This window comes from Homo sapiens, chromosome 3 (assembly GCF_000001405.40).
Source record: "Homo sapiens chromosome 3, GRCh38.p14 Primary Assembly".
Classification (NCBI taxonomy): Eukaryota; Metazoa; Chordata; class Mammalia; order Primates; family Hominidae; genus Homo; species Homo sapiens.
Genome location: NC_000003.12, coordinates 69,100,925 through 69,127,396, shown reverse-complemented (window position 1 = coordinate 69,127,396; position 26,472 = coordinate 69,100,925). Strand labels below are relative to the sequence as shown.

At 39.7% G+C, this 26,472-nt stretch overlaps 2 protein-coding genes across 3 annotated transcripts in view, besides 3 other annotated features; one reads left to right on the top strand and one right to left on the bottom strand.

Moving 5' to 3' along the window:
• Positions 4,748 to 5,947: an enhancer, noted in NCBI's record as "CDK7 strongly-dependent group 2 enhancer chr3:69170601-69171800 (GRCh37/hg19 assembly coordinates)". NCBI's record gives its function as "activates an origin of replication core promoter dependent on BRD2, BRD4, P300/CBP, MED14 and CDK7 cofactors, with strong dependence on CDK7, by STARR-seq in HCT116 cells {active_cell/tissue: HCT116}" and the evidence as "EXISTENCE:reporter gene assay evidence [ECO:0000049][PMID:35650434]".
• LMOD3 (leiomodin 3) lies at positions 4,802 to 21,332 on the top strand. 2 transcript variants are annotated; one of them, NM_001304418.3, is made up of 4 exons: positions 4,802 to 4,893; positions 4,988 to 5,304; positions 7,337 to 8,698; positions 18,276 to 21,332. In NM_001304418.3, exons 2-4 carry the CDS (start codon positions 5,011 to 5,013, stop codon positions 18,300 to 18,302), a joined length of 1,683 nt encoding a protein of 560 aa, NP_001291347.1. In that variant the 5' UTR covers positions 4,802 to 4,893; positions 4,988 to 5,010; the 3' UTR covers positions 18,303 to 21,332. The 2 variants fall into 2 exon arrangements, with proteins under 2 accessions (NP_001291347.1, NP_938012.2); NM_198271.5 differs by having other exon boundaries at positions 4,802 to 5,304.
• Positions 16,004 to 16,505: an enhancer, noted in NCBI's record as "NANOG hESC enhancer chr3:69160043-69160544 (GRCh37/hg19 assembly coordinates)". NCBI's record gives its function as "activates a minimal SCP1, AML or CMV promoter by ChIP-STARR-seq in naive H9 embryonic stem cells {active_cell/tissue: H9 hESC(naive)}" and the evidence as "EXISTENCE:reporter gene assay evidence [ECO:0000049][PMID:30033119]".
• The window catches only part of ARL6IP5 (ARF like GTPase 6 interacting protein 5), a 21,156-nt gene continuing 15,988 nt past the window's right edge, over positions 21,305 to 26,472 (bottom strand). Inside the window, exons 2-3 of the mRNA NM_006407.4 lie at positions 25,341 to 25,558; positions 21,305 to 22,933 (exon numbers count right to left, since the gene is read on the bottom strand). Coding sequence (NP_006398.1) covers positions 22,761 to 22,933; positions 25,341 to 25,558 — 391 coding nt within the window. The 3' untranslated portion in view covers positions 21,305 to 22,760. The remainder of the gene's footprint in view (positions 22,934 to 25,340; positions 25,559 to 26,472) is intronic.
• Positions 22,378 to 23,577: an enhancer, noted in NCBI's record as "CDK7 strongly-dependent group 2 enhancer chr3:69152971-69154170 (GRCh37/hg19 assembly coordinates)". NCBI's record gives its function as "activates an origin of replication core promoter dependent on BRD2, BRD4, P300/CBP, MED14 and CDK7 cofactors, with strong dependence on CDK7, by STARR-seq in HCT116 cells {active_cell/tissue: HCT116}" and the evidence as "EXISTENCE:reporter gene assay evidence [ECO:0000049][PMID:35650434]".

Here is a 26,472-nt window from a genome sequence, read left to right as displayed (position 1 = left end):
GTCCATTTTCCAGCCTGCAGCAAAAGTGATCTTTTAGAAATGTAAATCATCTGTTAGTCCTGTGCTTCAAACTCTCCAATGGTTTCCAATGACACTTAGAATGAAATCCAACTCACTCCAGGTCATAAAGACTTATCTGATCTAGCCCCTGCCTAGGTCCCTGTCCTCATCTCCTCCTTGCACAACAGAGTCCAGTTATGTGAGTGTCACCTTGCGTCACTGCCTAGAAAAGCCCAAGATCTTGCCTGTCTAAAGGACTTTGCACTTGGTTCCCTCTGCATAGATTGCTGTTCCCTCCTATCCTACGGTTGATTTCATTCATTAGGTGTTACCACCTCAGAGAGGCTTTTCCTAACTTCCCTAACCAAGGTAGGTCTCCCCTGTGATTATCTAAAATGTAGTTTTCATCTCCTTCCACAGCATTTAATGCAACCAGCAATTATTTACTTGTCTTCATCACTGGAAAGTGACTTTGTCTCAACCACTCTTGTATTCCTAGCGCCTAGCACAGCATATAGCACAACTAGGCACTTGGCAAATACTGCTGAATAAATGAATGAGTGCAATGTGTCTTAAGCTCACTGAGCCTGATCTATAAAATGAGTGGCTTGCAGTAGCTCTGTGACTCTCACACTTATTTACACATCAGGATCACCTGGAGCGCTTTCACAAAATACAGATTCCTGGGCCCAGACCTGAGTTGCTTCTGGGTGGGGTCCAGAGAGACAATATACTTAATAACTTCCCCTGAAGACTCTGATTCAAAACCAGATGATCTGTGATGCCCTATCTGGCTCTAATATTCTGTCGATTATCCTACAGCTAGCTACATTCTTTTGGTATCATAGCTGGATTCTGATGTGAGAAGCTGTTGAGGTGGCAGCACTGGAACATCATTAAGAGAAAGCACAACTAAATCATCTCTGTGTCAAATGAGGCTAATTACACCAGCAAAACCCTCCCTGTCAGCATATGGATAAAATGCACAGTAGAAGCAGCTGGGAGAGATTTACCCACTGCCTACGCTCATTCAGCAAGATGCAAGTCAGATGAAGGAGCACTCCTTACAGAAATTCCTAAATCAGCTCGATCATCAAAAGCATTTTGATCACATTAAAATAAGTGGAATTCATCAGAAGAGAATTTGAATCTAAAAGCTTACAAGCCACCTTTCAGATCATTTTCTTGGGGGAGCTTCATATTTATATGCAAATGGTGGTTTTCTATTTTCTTTATACATAATTCCACCTAAAAGTCTCTCAGTTCCTTTCTGTAAAAGCAACAAGATTTTGAAAGCTCTTTTGTTTATTGCCATTAATATAACGGTTTCTATCTTGAAAATGGTTTTTAAAATGTAGTACATGTAAATGTACTGCATTATGTAAACATACTGCATTTTATCATTGCCTTTGTTTTTCTTTAAATATTTCTGCAGTTAACCATGAGTTATGAGAATAATACTGTTTAACATTTATTGAGGGTTACTCTGTGCCATGTACCATCCTACCACATATATCTATGGATATAGATATAATAAAGCCTCATATATATGTATAAAACCTCATTTAATTTTCTCAATAATTGCATATGGTAGACATTATTATCAGATATGGGCTAAGTTGCTCAGTATCACCTAAGTTAGGAATGGAGCTGACACTGAAATCCAGGTATACTGACTCCAGAGGCTGCTCTTTAATATTTAGCTCTGTATTTCCCAAAATATGAATTATTTAAGATTGGGGAGGGTTAGGTTAAAAAACTGGTTTCTTTAGTGTAGAATTTCTCAGAGTTTCTCAAAGCTAATTGTGCTTTACAAATATCTAAAACACAAATGCAGAATATAACATTTCCCAAGCCTCCCTGAACAAAATTGATTTGTTGTTCTTGTTTTGTTTTGTTTTGTTTTTGTTTTGACTGAATCTCTTTAGATCATTGTTCTGCAAAGAAAACTCTATGAAATGATGGTCCACAAATCAGTGGTCTACAAAGTGGTCTACCTCCCTGCCCACCAAGGCTCAACTCTTCCCCCTTTTACAGGGACTAAAAGAAGACCTGGCCAGGCATGGTGGCTCACGCCTGTAATCCAGCACTTTGGAAGGCCGAGATGGGCAGATCACCTGAGGTCAGGAGTTCAAGACCAGCCTGGCCAACATGGTGAAAACCCATCTCTACTAAAAATACAAAAATTAGCCGGGTGTGGTGGTACACGCCTGTAGTCTCAACTACTGGGGAGGCTGAAGCACAAGAATCACTTGAACCCAGGAGGCAGAGGTTGCAGTGAGCCGAGATCATACCACCGTACTCCAGCCTGGGCAATAGAGTGAGACTCAGTCTCAAAAAAAAAAAAAAAAAAAAAAAAGAAGAAGAGAAGACCTGATAGGCGAGAGGCCAGGGATAAGTTGCCAGTACATAACTGTGTCCTTTGAAAATTCTCATTCAAGTAAATTGGAAATACCTTTCTGGGGCATTAATTACATATGAAAAGCCTTTCAACCTGGAATGCTCAAGATAAAACACTAGGGTAGGAAGAAAATATTATAACTTTCATTTCAAACTCACACTTGATTTGATTTTTTTTTTCTTCCTTTTTCACAAATTTTATCAATAAAATATCCTTGGACAGATACACAAGAAACTAAAATCCTTGGATACTTTTGGAGAAAGGAATGGGGGTGTCTCAAGTTTCAAACTTACATATATATGAAATGTTGGAATGGTAACATGTATATCTGTTTGTTTGTTTTTATTTATTTATTTTAAGATGGAGTCTTGCTCTGCCACCCAGGCTGGAATGCAGTTGTGTGATCTCAGCTCACTGCAGCCTCTGCCTCCCAGGTTCAGGTGATTCTCTGCCTCAGCTTCCCGGGTAGCTGGGGCTACAGGTGCCTGCTACCACGCCTGGCTAATTTTTGTATTTTTAGTAGAGATAGAGTTTTGCTATATTGGCCAGGCTGGTCTTGAACTCCTGACCTCAGGTGATCTGCCCGCCTCGGCCTCCCAAAGTGCTGGGATTACAGGCATGAGCACGGCGCCCGGCCAACATGTATAGTATTTGTAAATATTTAATATAAGTAGATTGGAGATGGGTCCTAGTAGGTTGGTGCAAAAGTAATTGTGATTTTTGCTGTTACTTTAATCTACATATAAAAAGTATTTAATTTCTTCGTATTCTGTGACCTAGCAATTTCACTTTTTAGAATTTGTTCAATTTACTCTAAAGAAATAAACTTGTGTGTTTATAAACTATTTAGGTATAGGGATATTTATTAAAGAACTATTTGTGCTTGTGAGAATTGAAAACATTCTAAATATCCAACAATTGAGGATTGGTTATACAAATTATGGTACATCCATATAAAGAATCCTAACAGAGGGCAATAAAAAATTATTTAGTAGTAGAGTACACAGTTGCCTAGAAAAAAAGAATCCTGACTTTCTCAGTCAAAAAAACAGATGAGAAAAAATGATAGAGTTTGTATGCCTAAAAGAAAGGACTGGAATGAAAAAACTGAAATGTTAATAGTGGTAGCTTCACAGTGAGGTAAGGGGAAGATTTTGTTCTGTGCCTTTCTATGTTATCCTAACTCTTGTACAATGAATGTATATTTCGGAATAAGAATATATTTACGAGCCAGGCACGGTGGCTCACGCCTGTAATCCCAGAACTTTGGGACACCGAGGCAGGTGGATTGCTTGAACTCAGAAATTCGAGACCAGCCTGAGCAATATGGCAAAACCCTGTCTCTACAAAAAATACAATTAGCTGGGTGTAGTGGTGCATGCCTGTGGTCCCAGCTTGATCCTGGGAGGCAGAGGTTGCAGTGAGCTGAGATCGCAGCACTGCCCTCCAGCCTGGGTGACAGAGCCAGACCCTGTCTTAAATATATATATAATAAAACTTGTATATTATATATTATTGTACCCTTTGTCACACAAATAATGGCATGTAAAACACACTGTTTTGTACTTTGCTATATTGTGTAACCTTGTACACACGTTGTTTCACCCATGTAGGGGTATATCTGTAGGATACACTTCTCAAAGTGGAATTGCTGGGTCAAAGGAAATGGGCATTTGTAATTTGGACAAATGTTGCATATTGCCCCTTCAGGGTTTGAAAACAAAATCTTCTCATAGTTTCTTTTAGTATATTAGTGGTCTGGATTTCTTTTTTAACACTTCACTTTAGAGCCATTTTCATTGATATTGGCTTAATGGATACTTAATAAGAAAAGCAAATAATTTAAAATATTAAACTCACTTATAGTGGAAATCCAAGTGCTGGTTGTCCCCATCTGTTAGATCACAGGATCTAGATGCAAACAGGACATCTTGCAAAGGTTCGGCTTACACAGAGGATGAGTGACATAGCAAGACCTCTGTTCCACTGTGCACCACTTTATTTGCTTCCACACTCACCTTGTAGGGAAGAGGCAGACCCTAAGAGCTTGATTTCTACCTTCAAGTGAATTCTTTACTTCAGAAACAACTCAGGTTGCTGGTTGGATTTCCCTTCTGAAATATTGTAAGTTGCTTTAATATTTAAATAAAAACAAGTGGAATCCCCTGGAGTATTGGGGTATGTATGTATGAGCTGCATGAATTTGTGTATGGCAATATGATGGCATATAGGAAGATAATTAATTTTATTCCTGCAGAGATTCTGTAGTCTCTGCTAGTCTCTGGCAAACATAGCAGCTGTACTGAAATGTCAGATGGATTTGCGCAGCTGACTCAAGTTGCCAAAAAGAGAGCAGCATAGTTGTTCCATAAATTGACCCCATCCAGCCAAGCCCTGCTTAATATAGATCCGGCAAGAGCTTAGCTGTGATCACTCCTAGCTGCTCAGCAAACCACTGAGGTTCCTGGGAAAAAAAAAAAAATATCTCAAGGGTGTGTTAACTTGGGACACTCGTTAACTGGGGGACCTTCTTGAGGCTTTTTTCCTTCTTTTTAAAAATCATCTTTGATTATTCTTCTTTTCTAGTAAAATAATATTTAGAAAAAATAATGTCAGAGCACAGCAGAAATTCAGATCAAGAAGAACTTCTCGATGAGGAGATTAATGAAGATGAAATCTTGGCCAACTTGTCTGCTGAAGAACTGAAAGAACTGCAGTCGGAAATGGAAGTCATGGCCCCTGACCCCAGCCTTCCCGTGGGAATGATTCAGAAAGATCAAACTGACAAGCCACCGACAGGAAACTTCAATCATAAATCTCTTGTTGATTATATGTATTGGGAAAAGGCATCCAGGCGCATGCTGGAAGAGGAACGAGTTCCTGTCACCTTTGTGAAATCCGAGGTAACCAGAGATTTGTGTACAACCGAGAAATGGCTGCCTGGGATGGGCTGTTAGGTCTCTCTGTTGTAACTGTGATTTCTCAAGACTCCAGGGTTTGGTTCTGCTTTGTTTTTGCCATATCTAGATTAAACCATAATATTTAATCCTACTCCGACTGGAACTTTCTGAAACACATTTATATTTACAAGGGGAAAATTGGGTAATTTCTTGCAAATGTCTCTTTTTAAAAATTGCTGTCGGGTTTGCTGTGTCAGAAAGCCTGTGTTCTATTGCCACGATACTTAGTGACTTAACTCATAACCCAGAGGCAGTTGTCCTTACCTCTCTCTTTCTTTTTTATTGCAGGCCCCTTTGAGAAAGTAATGACAGCTCTGTAGCCTCTGTCTCTCTGGCACATCCAAACATACGCAGTGTTTCGCACACAGTGTCAAACATTTCAGTCCTCCTGAAGTCTGGCCACACAACCTGCAATTAAACCAAGTCGAATAACCAGAAAATGTCTTATATTATTACTATGTATTGGCTGTCAGTGATGACATTTAGAAATCGATGGCTATTAAGTGGTTTTGAAGCTAGTTCTTCACTTTCTAAAACCTGAAAGCTAGAATTGTTAACTCTGCAAACTTACTGTGCATGAGCATAATTTTTTTTTTTATGTTCCACTTGAAAATGACTTAACAAAAAGAGGACAGAGATGCCTCCTAGGTAAAGTCTCTTTAGGTTATGCCTGTTTACAAAGATACATCTTGTTAAATTACTCTGAAGCTGGCTGTAATTAAGGAAAGTTGTCAATTGGTTTTACAGTCAGTAGAGTTTAAACATGTGCTAAGATTAAGAAAAGAAACAGCTGGATTGATCAGGTTAGAGTTCAAGGTACAATTTGCAGATTTTTTACAACTGGAGATCAATGGATGAAAAGCCAATTCTATGTGAATGCCAGTTTCAGGGGGTAAAAACGAGTACTTGCAACATGTTTTTCCTTCCTCTGGTATAACTTGAACAGCTTGATGGTTGGCTCCCCCTTCTGGTCAAGGTGAGAAATGCAGTGGTGAAGACTTCAGGTGGTTAAGGTGACTTGTCACTGTCTCTTCTGACCTATGTTATGAGCATGAAATTTTTGCTCAAATGAACCTGTGTCTCAACTTGCTATACTGGCTTTCAAAATGATATCTATGAGGCCCACAAGTTGCATAGAAAAGCATTATAATTGATGTGCAAGAATCTAATACATATTATTGATAAAAGGCCCATTTTATTTCCCAGACTAAGCAATTATTTCTCAATGTCTGCATAATCCTGTTTCATCTTACAGCTGGCCCTGGTTCCTAGGCACTTTCTTTCACAAGAAACTGGGATAGTAAACTTGTCCTAGACAGAGTATCATGGCAGTTGTCAAAGAACTGAAAAAATAGAATCAAAATTGAGGTTTTAAATATATATATGTATATATATATATTCAAAATCAAAATTGAGGTTTTTAAATATATATATATTCCAAAATGTCAAACGTATCTAATTTCCCATACATTATGTTATGTTCTCAGAGGAAGTTCATGTACATTCTATACTAGATTAGTAGACATTGTAGGGATGTTAATTTTAGGGCAATAATTTCCTTATTCTAATATATTTATAGTATCACATTTATAATATATTGGAATAATAAGGAAATTATTGCCCTAACTCAGGACTGTTGGGTACTAGATGCCTATTTGGTAGATACAAAATCAAAGCTTCAGTGTATCGATGAACAATTCTATGAGGTTTTCAAAACAATTTTTAACTGCTTCTGAAATTAAACACCATTAAAAAGTACAGAATATTAAAATTAATAAGGTTTCCTTTTAATACTCATTTTAATTTATGGGATAGAATAACCACCCATTTTTAGCAATCAGCTATTTAAATAAGGATTATTTAAAATAGCAACCAGCTCTTTTAAATAAGCATTTTTATTATCTCCACTAGCTGATGCTCCACTTCATATTTCTTCTCTGCTATGTATTCTAACCCTCATAAACCTCTCTTGTAGGAAAAGACTCAAGAAGAGCATGAAGAAATAGAAAAACGTAATAAAAATATGGCCCAGTATTTAAAAGAAAAGCTCAATAATGAAATAGTTGCAAATAAAAGAGAATCAAAGGGCAGCAGCAATATCCAAGAAACAGATGAAGAAGATGAAGAAGAAGAAGATGATGATGATGACGACGAAGGAGAAGATGATGGTGAAGAGAGTGAAGAAACGAACAGAGAAGAGGAAGGCAAAGCAAAGGAACAAATTAGAAATTGTGAGAACAACTGCCAGCAGGTAACTGACAAAGCATTCAAAGAACAGAGAGACAGACCAGAGGCCCAAGAACAAAGTGAGAAAAAAATATCGAAATTAGATCCTAAGAAGTTAGCTCTAGACACCAGCTTTTTGAAGGTAAGTACAAGGCCTTCAGGAAACCAGACAGACCTGGATGGGAGCTTGAGGAGAGTTAGGAAAAATGATCCTGACATGAAGGAACTCAACCTGAACAACATTGAAAACATCCCCAAAGAAATGTTACTGGACTTTGTCAATGCAATGAAGAAAAACAAGCACATCAAAACATTCAGTTTAGCCAATGTGGGTGCAGATGAGAATGTAGCATTTGCCTTGGCTAACATGTTGCGTGAAAATAGAAGCATCACCACTCTCAACATCGAGTCCAATTTCATCACAGGTAAAGGGATTGTGGCCATCATGAGGTGTCTCCAGTTTAATGAGACGCTAACTGAGCTTCGGTTTCACAATCAGAGGCACATGTTGGGTCACCATGCTGAAATGGAAATAGCCAGGCTTTTGAAGGCAAACAACACTCTCCTGAAGATGGGCTACCATTTTGAGCTTCCGGGTCCCAGAATGGTGGTCACTAATCTGCTCACCAGGAATCAGGATAAACAAAGGCAGAAACGACAGGAAGAGCAAAAACAGCAGCAACTCAAGGAACAGAAGAAGCTGATAGCCATGTTAGAGAATGGGTTGGGGCTGCCCCCTGGGATGTGGGAGCTGTTGGGAGGACCCAAGCCAGATTCCAGAATGCAGGAATTCTTCCAGCCACCGCCACCTCGGCCTCCCAACCCCCAAAATGTCCCCTTTAGTCAACGCAGTGAAATGATGAAAAAGCCATCGCAGGCCCCGAAGTACAGGACAGACCCTGACTCCTTCCGGGTGGTGAAGCTGAAGAGAATCCAGCGCAAATCTCGGATGCCGGAAGCCAGAGAACCACCCGAGAAAACCAACCTCAAAGATGTCATCAAAACGCTCAAGCCAGTGCCGAGAAACAGGCCACCCCCATTGGTGGAAATCACTCCCAGAGATCAGCTGCTAAACGACATTCGTCACAGCAGTGTCGCCTATCTTAAACCTGTAAGTAGAAGGAGGGAGAAATGGTGACTGAGCACCCTCCATAGTAAATGCATCCCAACTTTATTCCCTCTCTGTTTTAACATAAGGGGATACTCACTAATTGAGACCAACTGGGGGAAGCCAATGAGCATTACCAATAGAACTAAATTACTGCTATCCCTAAGGATGTACACCTGTAGCACCCCATCTCTAGGTACGCCTATATGACTTCTGTAACAACGATATTAGCAGCTAACATTTAGGGAGCATTTACTATAGGCTGGAGTTGTTATATGAATTAACTCATGTAATCATCTTACTAACCCTATAAGCTAGGTACTGTTATTCTCCCCATTTAATAAAAAGGATACTGAGGCTTAGAGAATTTAATAACATGTGGAGGAGACACAGCTAGGAAGTGGTAGAGCTGACATTGAAACCCGGTTCTGAGTCTAGAGTCAAGCTTTAATTCACCTCTTCTTCTGACCTCTTCAAGTGCATATTCAAAAGAACACCATTCCAGCCACAATGGAGCTGACACTCAGAGATCCCTAGGAACCTACAGTGAGGAATAAATAAGAATGAGGCCAGGCCGGGCGCATTGGCTCACGCCTGTAATCCCAGCACTTTGGGAGGCCAAAGCAGGTGGATCACAAGGTCAAGAGATCAAGATCATTCTGGCCAACATGGTGAAACCCCATCTCTACTAAAAATACAAAAATTATCTGGGCATGGTGGCGGGCACCTGTAGTCCCAGCTACTCAGGAGGCTGAGGCAGGAGAGTCACTTGAACTTGGGAGGCGGATGGTGCAGTGAGCGGAGATTGCACCACTGTACTCCAGCCTGGTGACAGAGCGAGACTCCATCTAAAAAAAAAAAAAAAAAACCACCCAAATTGGGCCAGTTGTTTGTAGATAATGGAATGCTTCCAAAATGCATAGAAACAGTTCTTTTTAGTAGATGAAGAGAGACTGTTCGAAATTGCATTTGTATTGCTCACTTTTTAGGCAGATAAATGTTGAACTTCAGGTTGGTGTCACCATGAATTCACGGAGTTTTAAAATCACTATTTCAATTTAACATTTACCATGATCCACGATTACTGCCGAGTGGAAAAGTTATTTTCCGTGCAACTTAAGTTGCAGAAATGAAGATATTTTGGTCATTATTATGATGGCGTTTATTGAGGTTGAAAGATGTGTTCAGAGGCCGCAGGTGATTGATAATTAACTATATTATTTTAAAATCTCCTGTAATATAGCCACGAGATTATGTTGGCAGAATAGTCTGTATATTATTTTGTTACACAGATTCATGTTTTTTCAAAACATGTTGAATTTTTATGCATGCTTGCTCTTTTTCTGCTTTAAAGAGCTTGATATTCTGAAATAATTGCTAGTCTTTCACATATGTATCGTCCTTATTCCCAACTCCTAGAATGGAGAATTATCAATAGCCCATTCTTCTAAATCAAAGCTGACTTTCATCTATGATTTAGAGAGGCTCTGATTCTTCCTGGAGCAGTGGCCAGGGTGAGAACGCTGGAGGTCACATGAGGTCAGACAATGGTTCTTTGCCTGCCCTTGGGCACAACATCAAGACTTTCTGCACCTGCTCTTCTCTGGACAGCCAGAACTCCCCTAGGAATGAATTGGGGTATTGTTTGAGAGAAACTAGTTCTACCACTTTTCCAGTAACTAGTCATTGGCAAAGAATATTCAAGCCACCTTGGTGGCTGTACATTCAGAAAAGAGCAGTCTGAAAAGAATGATGAGACGTCTTTTGAAAAAATCTGTGCCAAAGGTGGCATGTAAGTTCGGAGTAGAAGAGGGAATGAAGTTCAGAAGAGCATCTGAACCAACTCCCTGACTTCTGAGTGCTCTGCTGAGCAAATCCATTTTTCCTGGGTCAATTCCATTCTATCCATTCACTTATTTGTTAATCTAACAAATATATATGTCAGGCAGATGAGAAGGATTGGGGATATAGTGGTAAGTCAGGTTCAGTCTCGACCGCACACAGAGCTTACAGTGTAGGTTTAATTTTTCACCCCTCTGCCTTTTACTCAACTGAGAACACTACAGTTTTGGGTCTAGAGTCTAGGACAAAAGACATTAAAATAAATTCATGATGATAATTGCAAGAATAAAACACCCCACCAAGCACTGCATTTTTCATATTTTAATCAATTCAAAACTACTACCAATTTTAAGTGTATTTGGTGGTGGTGTTTTAAAAAAAATAATTCAAGAAAAACATGCCGCAAAGTGAACTCTGACATGCTTTTTGAATGACAATCTTGCATATCACCCTCGGTTTTGAAAGGGCTTCATTTATTCTGAAGGATTGGCAATTTCTCCTGCCTTCAGTTGCCTGGCTTGGCCTGTGACAGATCTGTTTGCATGTGTCTCAGTTACAAAATGTCACACAACTTCATCTATTCGGTCCTGGAAAACACTCGGCAAGAAAAATATGAAAATGCCTCCTTGCACTAATGAAAATTTGCTTCACTAATATCAGATTGCTTCCCAGCACTCTGTTTCTGTGCCTTTCTGCATGTACTATAAATTTCTGCTTTAAAGCCAAAACATAGTATAATCTTTTAAAAGATATTTTAATTTTTTTGTTTTGTTTTGAGGTCATTTTAGACTTACAGAAGGTCAAAAGTAGTACAAAGAATTCTTGCATACCCGTCTCACTTTACCACATTTGCTTACTTATCTTTCTTTAAAAGCTATTTTAAGAGGCAATACATCTGTGTGTGTAGTATCAACAGGGCACATGACTCAATGGAGGTAATAATAGTATGAGTAGCTATGATGTGTTCACACTTGGGTCTCCAGCCAACTATTGTAAAACACCATCGATTTTAAGATGGATTCTGATTTCAGAGCTGTTGAAATGTCCCAAAATATACATCTTAGACTCAAAGTACAGTAAACACTATAAATGGTAATGTCACAAAATCTCAGCAGAAAGGGATAGTTTTAGCCAATCAAGTGAGACAAGACAATGTTCACTTGATAGAGGTGAAATGAAGGGTTTTGGGGATTTGGGACAGATACCCTCCAAATCCCTGGATTTTCAAGAACGAGGTTAAAATTAAAACACAGTTTTGAAACCTTGTGGGGTTCTCTGTGTGTGTATGATGTTACTAAAGAGAACATTATTCAGAAACAAATTTTTTTCTTAGAAAAGTTTTGTGTGTGTGTGTGTGTGTGTGTGTGTGTGTGTGTTTGAGGCAGGATCTCACTCTATCACCCAGGCTGGAGTGCAGTAGCTCAATTATGGCTCACTGCAGCCTCAACCTCCAGGGCTCAAGTGATCCTCCCACCTCAGACTCCTGAGTAGCTGGGACCGCACTCACCACACACGGCTAATTTTTTTTTGTTTTTTAATTTGTAGGGATGAGATCTCACTATGTTGCCCTGGCTGGTCTCAAATTCTTGAGCTCAAGTGATCCTTCCGCTTCAGCCTCCCAAAGTGGCGGGATTACAGGCATCAGCCACCATGCTCGACAGAAAAATTTTTTTAAATTGTAGTTACTGGCTGGGAGCGGTGGTTCATACCTGTAATCTCAACAGTTTGGGAGGCCAAGGCAGAAGGATTGCTTGAGCCCAGGAATTCAAGACCAACATGAGCAACAAAACAAAGTGAGATCCTGTTTCTACAAAACATTTTTAAAAGTTAGCCTGGTGTGATGGCATGCACCTGTGGTACCAGCTACACAAGAGGCTGAGGCAGGAGGATCACTTGAGCTCAGGAAGTCAAGGCTGCAGTGAGCCATGTTTGTGCCACTGCACTACAGCCTGGGCAACAGAGTGAGACCCTGTGTGAAAAATAAAAGTAGTTATTTTCCTTATAGATTTGGAAATATTACTTTTGTATTTGATAGAGCACATGTATTTTAAAATTCTTTTTTAGGCTGGGTGCGGTGGCTCACACCTGTGATCCCAGCACTTTGGGAGGTCGATCACTTGAGGCCAGGAGTTTGAGACCAACCTGGCCAACGTGGTGAAAACCCATCTCTACTAAAAATACAAAAATATTCGGGTGTGGTGGTGCTCGCCTGTAATCCCAGCTACTTGGGAGGCTGAGGTATGAGAATCACTAGAACCTGGGAGGTGGAGTTTGCAGTGAGCCAAGATGGTGCCACTGCACTCCAGCCTGGGCGACAGAGCGAGATTCTGTCTCAAAAATTTTAAATTAATGCTTATTCTCTCCCTACCCCACGCTTCTGGCCTGGGATACCTGAAATGAAGTTGCTGGCAAAAAAATAAAGGAAAATCCATATACTTGCTTTGCTCAAATGCTTCCTCCTCTGAGAAATTACCCATTCAATTCAGTTTAAAAGAAGTTTACTCCGTGGGCCAGGTATTGAAAACTGGTAAAGCATGAGGTCAGATCTGGTAAAGCATGAGGTAAAGCAGGCCCACTTTATTTAGCTTGGGTATCATTGTGTAAGTTTTTGAATGTCACATGCAAAAAAATCCAGATATCTAGCACCACTTGGAACATCAGATCTGGCCACACTGCACTTGCATGGAAAAAATTAGCTGTTTCTATGCATTGGTTTCATCCTTGAGAATGCTCATGGACCCTCTAGTTTTTCTCTTTTGCCCTTACTGCTTTGTACCTGGCATGCTTCACTCATTTACATGACTTATCTGGCTTCTGTAGAATTTTTTTATTATGCTCTTGTTGTTTTTAGCTATGTTTTTAAAAATCTTTGTCTTATCTAACAAACTGAATTTATTGGATAATGACTAAATCATTTCCCTATGAGTTAATAAAGCTGAGTCGTATGATAACACAAAGACATTAGGCTGGTATAGGCCTATCCCTCCCTGACAAATGTGTGATATTCTTTCATCTTCAAAAATCTTGTGGTCTGCTCACTCCTACCATCTCAAATGAGTGTTTGTACTTTTCACTGAGATAAAATCCCATTTGCAGCAACTGTCTAATTCCCTGAGGCCAGCTGCATTTTGTATCATATCCAAGCTTCTGTGCCAATCACGCAAGATAACTATTTTAACATTCACTCAATTTCACTTCAGGCTTACTCATGTATATCTGGACTGCTCCCATCCAGTTGGCTAAAGCCATTGCTAAATTTTCCTCCAGAAAGACTTCAGTATAATAATATCATGGGCCGCCTTAGTACATCAAAAGACTCCATGACACATTAGGGGTTGTTATGATTACAGAACTGAAGTTTACAAACCCTTCAGCATTCATCTTCATCACTGGCCATTTCTTCTTTGCCTCATTTATGAGGTCTTCTTTCTCTTTAGCCAGATTCTCTAGATTCTCTCCTTTTGTACTTTTCTCCTCTTTCTCATCACATAATGGGAAATTTTCTCCTCTTTCTCTTGTCACATAATCTAGAACAATTCCCAAATCTCCCTTTCCCTTTAGATCACTCAGGGTTTTCTTAGCACGTTCAATCTGTCCCCAAACCAAGCTGCTCATTTTTAGGCCTAGTGGTTGCTTCTGGTTCCCAGTTTTCTGTCTTATCTCCATTCTGTCACGCATTCAGGTCTGAAACTCCAGGGTTACCTTCTACTTCTTTTTCTTCCTTCGACCCCTCCTCCCCCATTTTTAGGACCTCCAATAAAGAAACCAGGATGATCTATAAAAGCCAAAGCCAAACATAGATCATAGCTTTGGAAATGTTACAATTCTAATGAAGGGAGCCTCCATAGGAAAAAAGCAATGTAACATTTCAAGCTCATCAAGAGCACGTATAATCCAGGAATTATATAAACCAGAATTGCTTGCCTTTGATGTGTAGTGGGAAAAAAGGTTTTTTATACACTTTTCTAAAGTCCATATAGTGATTCTCAAATGTTATTGTGGATCAAAATCACCTAAAGGGCTAAATACAGATTACTGAGTCCACTGACAGAGTCTCTGATTCAGTAGGTCTTGGATGGGGCCTAAATATTTGCATTTCTGACAAATTCCCTGGTAATGCTGCTGCTGCTTATTCTGGGACCACATTTGACAATCACGACTCGGTGACATCTATGGTAAACCATGTCTGCTGCTGTCTTCCCTGAAGGGCCTTGCTTTCTTGCCTCTGTACCACCCTTTGCCTCAAATTACCTTTTCTTCTATCTCTGTTAGAATCTATCCAATTTCCAAGGCTTGACTCAAATGCTACTTCTTACAAAAAAACGTTAGGGGTACTCTGCCTGTGTATTTCCATTACCTTTTTTGTCCACACCTCTTTTATAGCACCTCCCACATTCTGCTTCAGGTTGACAGCCCTTCTGGCCACAGTGGTGGAAAGACTTTGAGCCTTACAGGATTCTGAGTTCTTCAAAGCAGGTCTTGCTCATCTCTGTCCTGGACATCCACTGAGGTGTTGGTCCAGAGCAGGAACTTAATACAGGTAGACCAAATTAAATAGCCTGTGCTGAAACCAACTTTCCCACCCGCTCTGCCTCCAAGCCTCTGAGTGTATGCGTATGTGTGCACTGTGTGATGCTAGACACACACACACACACAAGCACACTAGACATACTTTCTTTGAAAACTAACAAGCAAAGGGGAAAAAGGCTCCCTACCAATAACACAAGTTGATTTTCTTCTGTTTGTAAGTTTTACATTTTTATGACATCATATCTAGCTATTTTTATGATTTCTACCTTTTGTATTCTGCTTAGAAATGGCCTCTTTGAAAATGATTAAAATGTGTGCCTGCCTTTTCTTGCAACTTTTATAGTTTTTGGTTTTTAAAAAATATTTGATATTATGGATAGATTAAAGGGTTAATTTTTAAAGTCAGTAGAAAGCAAGAAGGCTATTTCATTATTTCTTTTCCAAATAGTTAACCAGTGATCATTTAGTGACTGATTCCTCTTTTCCCCAGTGATCTGAACTACCAGCTTGGTCATACTTTAAAGTAAATATGTGTCTGGGTTTACTATTCTGGGTCAGTGCCACATTTTCTTTTTAAAATATTATTCTGGGCTGGGCATGGTGGCTCACACCTGTAATACCAGTACTTTGGGAGGCCAAGGCAAGAGGATCACTTGAGTCCAGGAGGGCCTGGCTGCTTTGAGTTATCATTGCACCACTGCGCTCCAGCCTGGGTGACAGTGAGATCCTCATCTCTCTAAATAATTAAAAAATTTTTAAATTTAAAATATTATTTTGGAACTCTTCCATGCATATATAAACAAATACAGGGAATAACTTATATAAAATGCTTCTTTTTCCATTCCATAATACAAAGAACACAGTGTTTTAACTATTTATTGCAGCTTTACAGTTATTTTAAATACCTGGCTCATGGTTTCTCTTAACTACTGGTGTTCTCCATGGGAGAGCCCTGCAGGGTGCAGTCATACCCCTCTCTTCTCAAAGTTTGGCACAAGGGAGGTAGAGGGTCAGAAGCCATGGAAGTCCCCTTGGCTTGAAGGCTGGCAGGCAGCAGCACATCAAAGGTCCTCTCTGGTGGGCAGAATATTGGAAAAACATTCCTAGCCAAAGATCGTGGGCTGAGAACTGGCTGCAAGAGGAGCCAGAGCAGATGACCAAAATGGTTCATCACACTGGCAGGTGGACATTAGCAATACAGGGAGAAACATTCCTAGTCATTGTTATACAAATGCCCTGGGGACACTGGGCATCTTCAGTGTCCTCTGGAAGGTACATACATGATGGATGAGTTGATGAGTTACTTTCCTAAGATACAATGACACTTGAAACCCTTTAAAAACTTGCTTTGTCCTTAAGGTTTTCCTATGAGGCAGAAGTATGAAGTGGGTTTGCAGTGTTGGACTTCTGTTGTTGTTTTATAATTTTTTTTTGTCTTGGGGGATGCTTTAAATATATATATATATATATATATATTTTTTTTTTTTTTTTGAGATGGTGTCTCTGTTGCCCAGGCTGGAGTGCAGTGGTGGGATCCCAGCTCAAGGCAACCTCTGCCTCCCGGGTTCAAGCAATTCTCCTGCCTCAGCTCCCTGAGTAGCTGGGATTACAGGCACGTGCCACCACGCCCAGCTAATTTTTGTATTTTTAGTAAAGACAGGGTTTCACCCTGTTGGCCAGGCTTGTCTTGAACTCCTGACCTCAGGAGAACCGCCCACCTCGGCCTCCCAAAGTGCTGGAATTACAGGCGTCAGCCACCGCGCCCAGCCTTGTTATAAAACTCTTTTAAGAAAATCAGGTGGCTGGGTGCGGTGGCTCACACCTGTAATCCCAGCACTCTGGGAGGCCAAGGTGGGTGGAGCACCTGAGGTCAGGAGTTCACGACAAGCCTGGCCGACATGGTGAAACCCCGTCTCTACTAAAAATACAAAAATTAGCTGGGCGTGGTGGCATGCACCTGTAGTCCCAGCTACTTGGGAGTCTGAGGCAGGAGAATCGCTTGAACCTGGGAGGCAGAGGTTGTCTTGAGCCGGGATCATGCCACTCCACTCCAGCCTGGGTGACAGAGTAAGACTTTGTCTAAAAAAAATAAAATAAAAATCCTAACAAGGTGAGATGGGTCTCACTTTGTTGTTCAAGCTGGTCTCGAACTCCTGGCCACAAGTGATTCTCCCATCTCAATCTCCTGAGTAGCCAGGATTACAGGTGCATGCCCCCTTGCCTGGCTTATATTTCATGTTTAAATATTTCTGACCATCAGATTAGGAGTGTGCTTCAAAGAGGAAAGACATGTTTTAAAAAGAACATATATTTTATATTCTTATAGTGATATTTTTACAGGCAGTGTATAATAATGAGCACTGAAATCAGGCAGACCTGGTTCAAATCCTGCTCTGCCACTTCCTAGCTGTATGATCTTAGGCAAGTTATTGTCTTCTCTGAGCCATTTCTCTCCCTACAAGGCTTTTGTAGGATGTAATGAGATACTGTTTTAAAAATAAGTGTTAGGCCGGGTGCTCATGCCTGTAATCTCAGCACTTTGAGAGTCCGAAGCAAGTGAATCACTTGAGGCCAGGAGTTTGAGACCAGCCAGGCCAACATGGTGAAACCCTGTCTCTACTAAAAATACAAAAATTAGCTGGGCATTGGTGGCACATGCCTGTAATCCAAGCTACTTGGGAGGCTGAGGCAGGAGAATCGCTTGAACCCGGGAGTTGGAGGTTGCAGTGAGCCAAGATGGTGTCACTGCACTCCAGCCTGGAAGATAGACTGAGACTCCATCTCAAAAAAAAAAAAAAAAAAAAAAAAAGTGTTAACATGGATTACTCACTTGTATAATAGCCTTGTGAATTAGATACTGTTATTATCATTTTACAGCTGAGAAAACTGATGCCCAACACCACATAACTACTACATGCTAGTGCCAGTCTTTGAACCCAGGCCAACTTAGGCACCCGCCCTCTTATTTCCATGATGTTACTTTGCCATGTGCTCAAAGCTCTTGGAACAGTCCCTGGCATTAGTAAATGTCTAATAAATGGTGGCTGTGGTTATGATTGTTGTTTTATCTTGATTTTGGAGGTGCTTTGGCCAGAATTTCAAACCTATTCTGTATCTTTTAAGGCATGTAAATTTTGTAAATTTTGCTGCAAAGCTCTTAAATTTCCAGGATTAATTTCCCCCGTTTCCTCAAATGCTTAAATCGCAGGTGCAACTGCCAAAAGAACTGGCGTAAGAGGCAACAGAGCCATCTAGAAGAACAAGAAATGGAAATAGTGACTCTTGGATTACAGCATGGAGACTATGTCAGCAGCAATACTTTAGGATCCACGTGGCAGAACTGGAAACAATGCTACCATCTGATAAGGGTATTTGTAAAAGGCAGAATGTTTGGGCCATGAAGAAGTAGGGGCTGAAGAGGAAGGTGGAAGGAGATAAAATATAATATTTAGAGGCAATATTTTCTACTTGCAATCAATTTGAGTGACTCAGGTGAAATTTAGAGTCATATTTCCCGAAGCAGAAGTTAAAGAAAATTTTTTAAACATTTGCTTTATTATTGTTTTCTTCTGGTAAATAATAAATATAACAGAAGTGTTAACTATTGTATTCCCATTTTTTTCTCCTTCCATCTCTTCTGCGGTAATTCATCACATAGTATCTTAAAGGGAACAAATAATGTTTCATCCTATGGAAATGTGAAGGATGAATTGAGCTCCTGGCCCTTCTGATGCTTTGAAATGGAAGGATTGTTCCTTAGAGCTTCTCTGCAGAATCAGTGGAGATTTTCAGTTTCCCACCCTGCCTGGCTTTCTCTCTTGGTGACTCCCTTGGTGTTTTGGAGTATTCTTTCTATAGGGGTACCTGTGAGGGGCAGAACACGTAAGCCACAGAACATGGTGAAAACTAAGTGTCACTAGGAAAAGTAATGGGAAAGTAAACCCTGCATATATGAAAACTTCCTGGCAGCAAGTTTTCATATATAGAGGGACAATGGGAGACAGCATGCTGTTTTTATAGAAAAGAAGTTTTACATAATATAGTTATTGACAAGCTTTTGGTTTTGGCTAAATACACACACACACACACACGCTCATATGTGTTTACTCTGTAAGTCTAATTTGATTTTATCACTCTCAAACATATTTTAAAGGAAACTTGCTTACAGGAAGGATTAAACTTGAACTACTTATCCTATTCTTTAAGGCACTCCATTGCCTGGCCCCAATTTACTAATCCTGTCTTATTTCCCACAAATCCTTTATACTCTACTCGATGAAACATCCTTGTGCACACCCTTGTGCCTTTGCTCGCATTAATCCTTCCAAGAGACTTCCCTCCTGTTCTCCATTAATGAACGTCCTACCCAGTCTTCAACTCCCGGGTCAGATCCTGTGTCCTCCATAAAAAATTTTCCAGACAACTCCAATCTGTCCTTCTTCCAAGTTCCTAGAGGCCTTAATTATTCATTCTAGCCACTAGGTGCATAGAATTTGAGATTTTTGTAATAATAGAAGTAGTGTGAACCCTAGAAATTAGAAAATCAAGCTTTGGGCCAGGTGCGGTGGCTCATGCCTGTAATCCCAGCACTATGGGAGGCCAGGGAGGGAGGATCTCCAGAGGTCAGGAGTTCGAGACCAGCCTGGCCAACATGGTGAAACCCCGTCTCTATTAAAAATACAAAAATTAGCTGGGCATGATGGCAGGCACCTGTAATCCCAGCTACTCGGGAGGCTGAGGCAGGAGAATTGCTTGAACTGGGGAGGCAGAGGTTGCAGTGAGACAAGATCACGTCACTGTACTCCAGCCTGGGTGACAGAGTGATACTCCATCTCAAAAAAAAAAAAAAAAAAAAAAAAAAAAAAAAAAAAAAAAACCTTTGGTGCCTTTTCTCTCTTCTTTACCTGAGTAAATAATTGGCACCTGCCTTCTTTCTCCTTTTATGTTATCATAAGTGGCATGTATCAAACCAAACAGGCTAGGGGAGAATAGGTCTAATTGTGACAGACTTAAAAACAACACATTATTTGGAAAGACAAGCCATGGGAAAGAAATATGGCGTTTCTATTTTTTTAAGATAATTTAGTATGTACAAAAGTATCCAAATTTAAATATAGTTTTCAATGGCTGATAGTTTTGTTTTCTCACCCTTCAATATTTCTAGAAAACATCCTTGCATACAAAGCAGGATAGCTAAGAAAGGGCTGTAACAAACAAAACTTCAAGTGTCTAGCACATACTACATCTAAGAGGCTAAACTCTGATAGGAAAAGCACTTTAAACATAATTAAAAGCTTAATGTAAATTAGTAGTTGAAATTCTAGGCCGGTGCGGTGGCTCATGCCTGTAATCCCAGCACTGTAGGCGGCCGAGGTGGGTGAATCACATGAGGTCAGGAGTTCAAGACCAGCCTGACCAACATGGTGAAACCCCATTTCTACTAAAAAAAAAAAAAAAAAAAAAAAAAAATACAAAATTAGCCAGGCATGGTAGCTCATGCCTGTAATCCCAGCTACTTGGGAGGCAGGAGAATCACCTGAACATGGGAGGTGGAGGTTGCAGTGAGCTGAGATTGCACCATTGCACTCCAGCCTGGGCAACAAGAGCGAAACCTCATCTCAAAAAAAAAAAAAAAATTCTAGAAAGCCCCTATGCATTTGTTTGTATAGCCACAGTATTATTAAAGTCAGGAATTTCAAAATGCACAGTAAGAGGGTTTTTATCTTAGATATACAAGAAGAAAAGATGATCCAATTTCATAGCTTATGGCCTCAATACACAGGTTTTGCCAAAAGAGGTGAAGCAGTTCACATTATGCTTTTTCTACCACCCAACCCTAAAGATCTTAGTTGCAGATTTTAGCTTGTTTTTAAATGTAATCATAATTTACAACATTTATATGTTACATTTTTCTGTTATTACCCTTCCAGAATTGACTACTGGCCATTAGTAATTACAGGTATCTTTTTTTTTATTAGTTTCTCCAAATTTATTGGATTTTATCGGCAGAATTCACCTTGTAGAAAATGGAATGGGCTAACATGTATATAAAACTGGGCTAACATGTATATAAAACTCGTGCCAGGTTTAAAAATAGGATCCCACTGGAATTGTTTTATTCTGGCTGCAAGTTAATAAAGTATTCAAGCTTTACTAAACAGTATTTGAAACAGCTGAAGTGTTTGCTTCACTGTTTATAGGGTCGTCGCCAAGTTTCTCAGGTATTTAAGACAGATGTGCATTAAATAAAGTCTCACCAAAAAAACCTTTAATCAATTTTATTCTTCATATGTGGGTAAGGGTACAGATTCTAGACCATGTCTGTGAAGTCATGGTGATATCACTGTGCTAAAGATCATGGCTGTAGGTTGGCTGAGAATTTAAAATGCAAGAAAAATCAGAAGCAGCACATCATTGCTTCTTATTCTAGGACATACAGAGAGTTTCTTCAGTAAGTACCACTCCAGTTGTCTTCACAATTTAATGCTACAGAAACCTAAATGTTTCTACTTCAGCTACGAAATCATTCAATTGGCAGGCAAAACATTTTTTATTACCTATTTATAAAAACATGAGAAAGGGAGGAAAAATAATAGAATGTATAAACTCATGCTATCATAATTCTAATGTCTAGCTATAAAGGCATATGGTTGTAACAATTGCTATCTAAAATTTTTTATTAGCTGCAGTAGCTGCATTCCATTTTCATTACCATTTTTTAAAGTCTTTTTGCTTGGTCATCTAAAGACGTTTTTCAAATTTCAAAAGATCAGCTATTATTGTCCTCCTTGTGCCCCTAAGGAATTAATAAAATGCACATTCATTTCCTTCTTTCTAAATGTTCCAGTTAAAAACGAAACAATGCAAAAATGGCAAACATTTTCTTGGACCATTTTTTTCACTGTAACAACAAAAAATGTGCAAGGTAAATAGAACTCAAGTTTTGTTTTATTTTTTGTCTGTTTGTATTTTAATAAGTCCGTCCAGAATAATACAGGTTACATAGCTGTAACCATCTTAAGGAAAATGACATTAAGTTTGCAACAAATACTTGCTGGTGAAAACACATTACTAGCATTTCAAAAATTTACAAAAATGTAACAAAATATCCTAAACAGCTATCTTTATATTTGTAAAGGAAGTATGAACAACTGGCTTAACCAGTTTCCACTGCACATCAAACAGGTGGCAAAGTGATAGAGATCATCTTTGATTTTTAAGAGAATAATAAAAACTAATTTATATCCCACACATTACAATTCTAGGGGATTAGGAACAGGCTAACACATGATGTCATCTACTTTAACAGCCTTTTCATTTACTCGTATTGTCTTGATACTTTACAATGATTTTTTTTTTCCTATAAGATAATCGTATTGTTGCTGTAAAAGCCGTAATTCTTTTATTTTTTTTAATTCCCTTAAAGAAATCGTGTGATCCATTTCCCATTAGATTTCATAAACACACGTGAAACTTCAGACACAATAGGAGGGTGGTGGTTTTCTTTCGGTTTCTGAGGTCTTCTCTCTGAAACATCAGAGCTGATAATAGTTCGGCCTATACATGCATGCTGCCATAGATAATTGGGTGGTACGTGCACCTCCTGTTTCAAAAACGCAAGCAGAACATAGGTCTGGACAAGGGCAAGCTGCAACTCAATTTCTGCTGCAACCCTAGCTCAGGTAAGTTATGTTTATTCCTTCACTTTGCTGATATAGTCAGTGAGTCTGTTGATGCCTTCTTCCTGCTGTTCTAGGGCATCCAGGACAATGCCCATCGGTGTCCTCTTCAAACCTATTCCTTCCATTTTATTCTCCAGTTTGTTCTTGAGGTTCCGAAGTCTCAACGATGCATGGATAAACATCACTGCAGAGAAGGGACACCTGGTTAACACCAAAGCAACAATTCTCTTTTGCCATATCAATATTACACTCCCTCTCTTCACACTATTAGTAAACTGCCTTAGTTAGCCACAGTCCAGTCTGCTTCTCGAATTGATGCAAGCTTTCAAATGGCTCCTTGGACTTTATGTAAAGCTCTCCATCAAGTCATACATAGTTTTTTTTCTGCATTAAAGGAAAATGCTGTATTCAACAGGAAGGACCATTATCTGGAAGCCACACCCTTTCCTTCACACACTGATATCATCACCTTGCAGATGCTACTTAAATGTCCTGAAATTCAGAGTGAATCAACGGGATTCCATCCTACTTAAAAATCAACTTACCCGAGGCTTTCCAGAAAAGAACTCTTGCTCGATTCGGGATTATCTGTATCTTGTTCCCTGCAGGAGCACGTGAGTAAAGTCCACTTTTAAAGTGCCTCCCGGAGGCTTTACCCAAAGTGTTGGGTATAGAATTCTAGATGTAAAAATCTAAGGGCTTTACAGAGTTTCTATAGCCTACCGTTCCCCAAACTTGCTTGATTATTTTACCACAGATTCCCTATCCCCTTTCCTGGACCTCCTCCACCTGAGCCTTAAAGAGACAGGCCTGGGAATCTGTATTTTAAACAGGTAACCCTCTCTCCATATGATCTATACCAGTGGTTTTACAACTTCCATGTACATTCAAATCACCTGGAGAGCCTGTTAAATAGGCAAATTCCTGGTCTCCATCACCCCAAATTCAGACTGTTACAACTGAGGGAAGGCTCCAGAATTCATTATTTTAATAATCACTCCAGATGATTCTGATGTAGGTGGATCTTGGACCCTTATTTTGAAAAACCCTGATGTGGATTCATCTGGAGGATCTCAACCTAGACCACCCGTTAGAAATAGTTGACGAGCTTTCTAAAAACCTAACATCCTTGGGTACCACTGTTGACCCACAAAATAAAGATGTGGCTGGGAAATGTATATTTTTAAAAAGTATCCTGAATGCTTGTCACAATTATCCGTTTGGGAATCACTTATCTAATCTCCTTACTTTAGAGATGAGTGAACTACAGCCCATATAGGATGACTGGTCCAAATCACATGCTGGTTTCCAGCAGGTCTAAGAATAGAAATCAGGACTCTTAACTGTCTACCTCTGATACATTTCGTTACACTGGCCTGTCTCAGGTTCTGATGTGGAAAGGTATTAAAATTAGCAAGCTGTTTGATTAAACAGTATCATTGAAATACTAAGCGTTAAGCACCTACAGAAAACCTGAAGAAAATTCCAAAAATGTGTGAATTTGTTGGCTCAGATATTTTATCCAATAGGGTATGGGATGTATCCATAAATATTCTGGACTTAATCTAACAAAGCCCTAAACAAGCAAATAATTTCATTTAGTGGAATAAGTGCACATGTCAAATGTTATTGAAAGTTAAAGGGATGTGCCTGTCACTTAATATACTAGAATTTTAATCAGATTTCTGCTGATTAGGCTGGGATTTTATTTCTTGTCTATTTCAGGCTTCAAGTGTTTGGAGTCTTAGTAAATAATTCATGTAAAACTTAGAGAATATCTAGATCTCTTCACCAGAATCTGAGTATTTAGTACCTATATTCTGAGCCAATTATTCCTATAGACTTACCAAACTTTTAACACTAGTTATGATCTCCTGAGCAAGTGGAGAATAAATAGTCTACTTCCAAATAATAAATACATTCATTCCTGTGTCAGGACAATAGGAATGGCACTTAAAAATTGAGAATAGACTCTCTTATTAGACAAATCTGGAGTCTAGTGCAGGTTATGCCACATTCCTGCTGTATGACCTGGGATTTGTCTTTGTTCTGTTTACTGTTGTGTCCCCATAAGAATGTATGGCACACAGCTGGGCGAAGTGGCTCACGCCTGTAATCCCAGCACTTGGGGAGTCCAAGGAAGCTAGATCACTCAAGCTTGGGAGTCCGAGATCAGCCTGGGCAACATAGTAAAACCCCGGTCTCTACCCAAAACACAAAAAATTAGCTGGGTGTGCACCTGTGGTCCCAGCTATTCAGGAGGCAGAGGTTGCAGTAAGCCGAGATAACACCACAGCGTGGGTGACAGAGTAGACCCCATCTCAACAACAACAAAAGAATGTATGACACATAGCAGATGCCCCAACAAATATTTGTGGAATTAATGAACTATAAGGCCTTGACCTCATAGTTCTTGACCTCAGTTCTGTGTTATCTGGGTCTAGTTGGATAACAAGTAGAAAGCTGTTTTAGAAAATTCTGACACTTTTGCTGACATGCCAACACATATAAGAAATGGGTTATGGAATTCCCGTTGGATAATTGCTTCTACATTTTTTTGATGATGGAAGAAAAAACTCAAGTTCACTTACACAGCAAAGGAAAAGTAATGCCAAACACAAAGACCATGACTCCTCCAAACATGGAGATAAGGAAATAGCTCGCCAACATGACCACCATAACGAACGTCGTGGGGTAGCGCTTCTTCATCCGGCGAAGGACGTCTTTATTGTGGGCTGCCCACACAAACCCTGTGAACACCAGCACCACCACGATTCCTCCCAGGATCATGTTGAAGGGACTCAGAAACCTGAAATATGAGGAAGAAAAAATGAGGGGTGACTAGTTCAGCAATAGAAGTAGCAAAAGGAGAAAGAGGAGTAAAAACAATTATTGAGAACTTACTAATACTTTAATACTTTATCTAAATTGTCTCATTTGATTTCTCATAACCTTATAAAGGAGATACTATTAGTTCATTTCTCAAATGAAGAAGCTAAGGCACAGAGGTTAGAAAATGGTGGGGAAGGCCAGGAATGGTAGTTCACACCTATAATCCCAGCACTTTCAGAGGCCAAGGTGGGAGGATCACTTGAGCCCAGGGGTTCAAGACCAACCCAGGCAACATGGCAAAACCCATCTCTACAAAAATATGAAAATTAGCCAGGTGTGGTGGCACACACCTGTGTTCCCAGCTACTCAGGAGGCTGAGGTGGGAGGATCACTTGAACCTGGGAGGTTGAGTCTCCAGTGAGCCAAGATTCCCCCACTGCACTCCTGGCTGGGTGACAGAGTGAGACCTTATCTCATTAAAAAAAAAAAAAAAAAAAAAGGTGGAGCTGAGATCACACCCAGGCAGTTCCCATCAAAGTATCTCGTTAGAGGTCCACAATTTTGAAGACTAAAACTTCTTTTGAAGGTACTATGTTTAGCTTCCTTACATCCTGGGCTCTAGTACACAGTAGGTTGTGTTTTCTTAGCTCTAAAGGTTTATTTAAATCCTCAGAGAAGCTCATGATGGACGAATGTAGAATACAGGCCACATAATGGCCTCCATGGGCTAGATCCAGTATACAGTCACATTTTTGTTTGGCCTGTACAGTGTTTTAAAAAACTTTTACTTGAAACCCATGTGTTAAAAAAAAATCCAGAAAACTTGGGATTTCTTGTTCTCCTGGAACAAGAAAATAACAGTGCTAGGCCCACTTTCCCACATGTCAACAG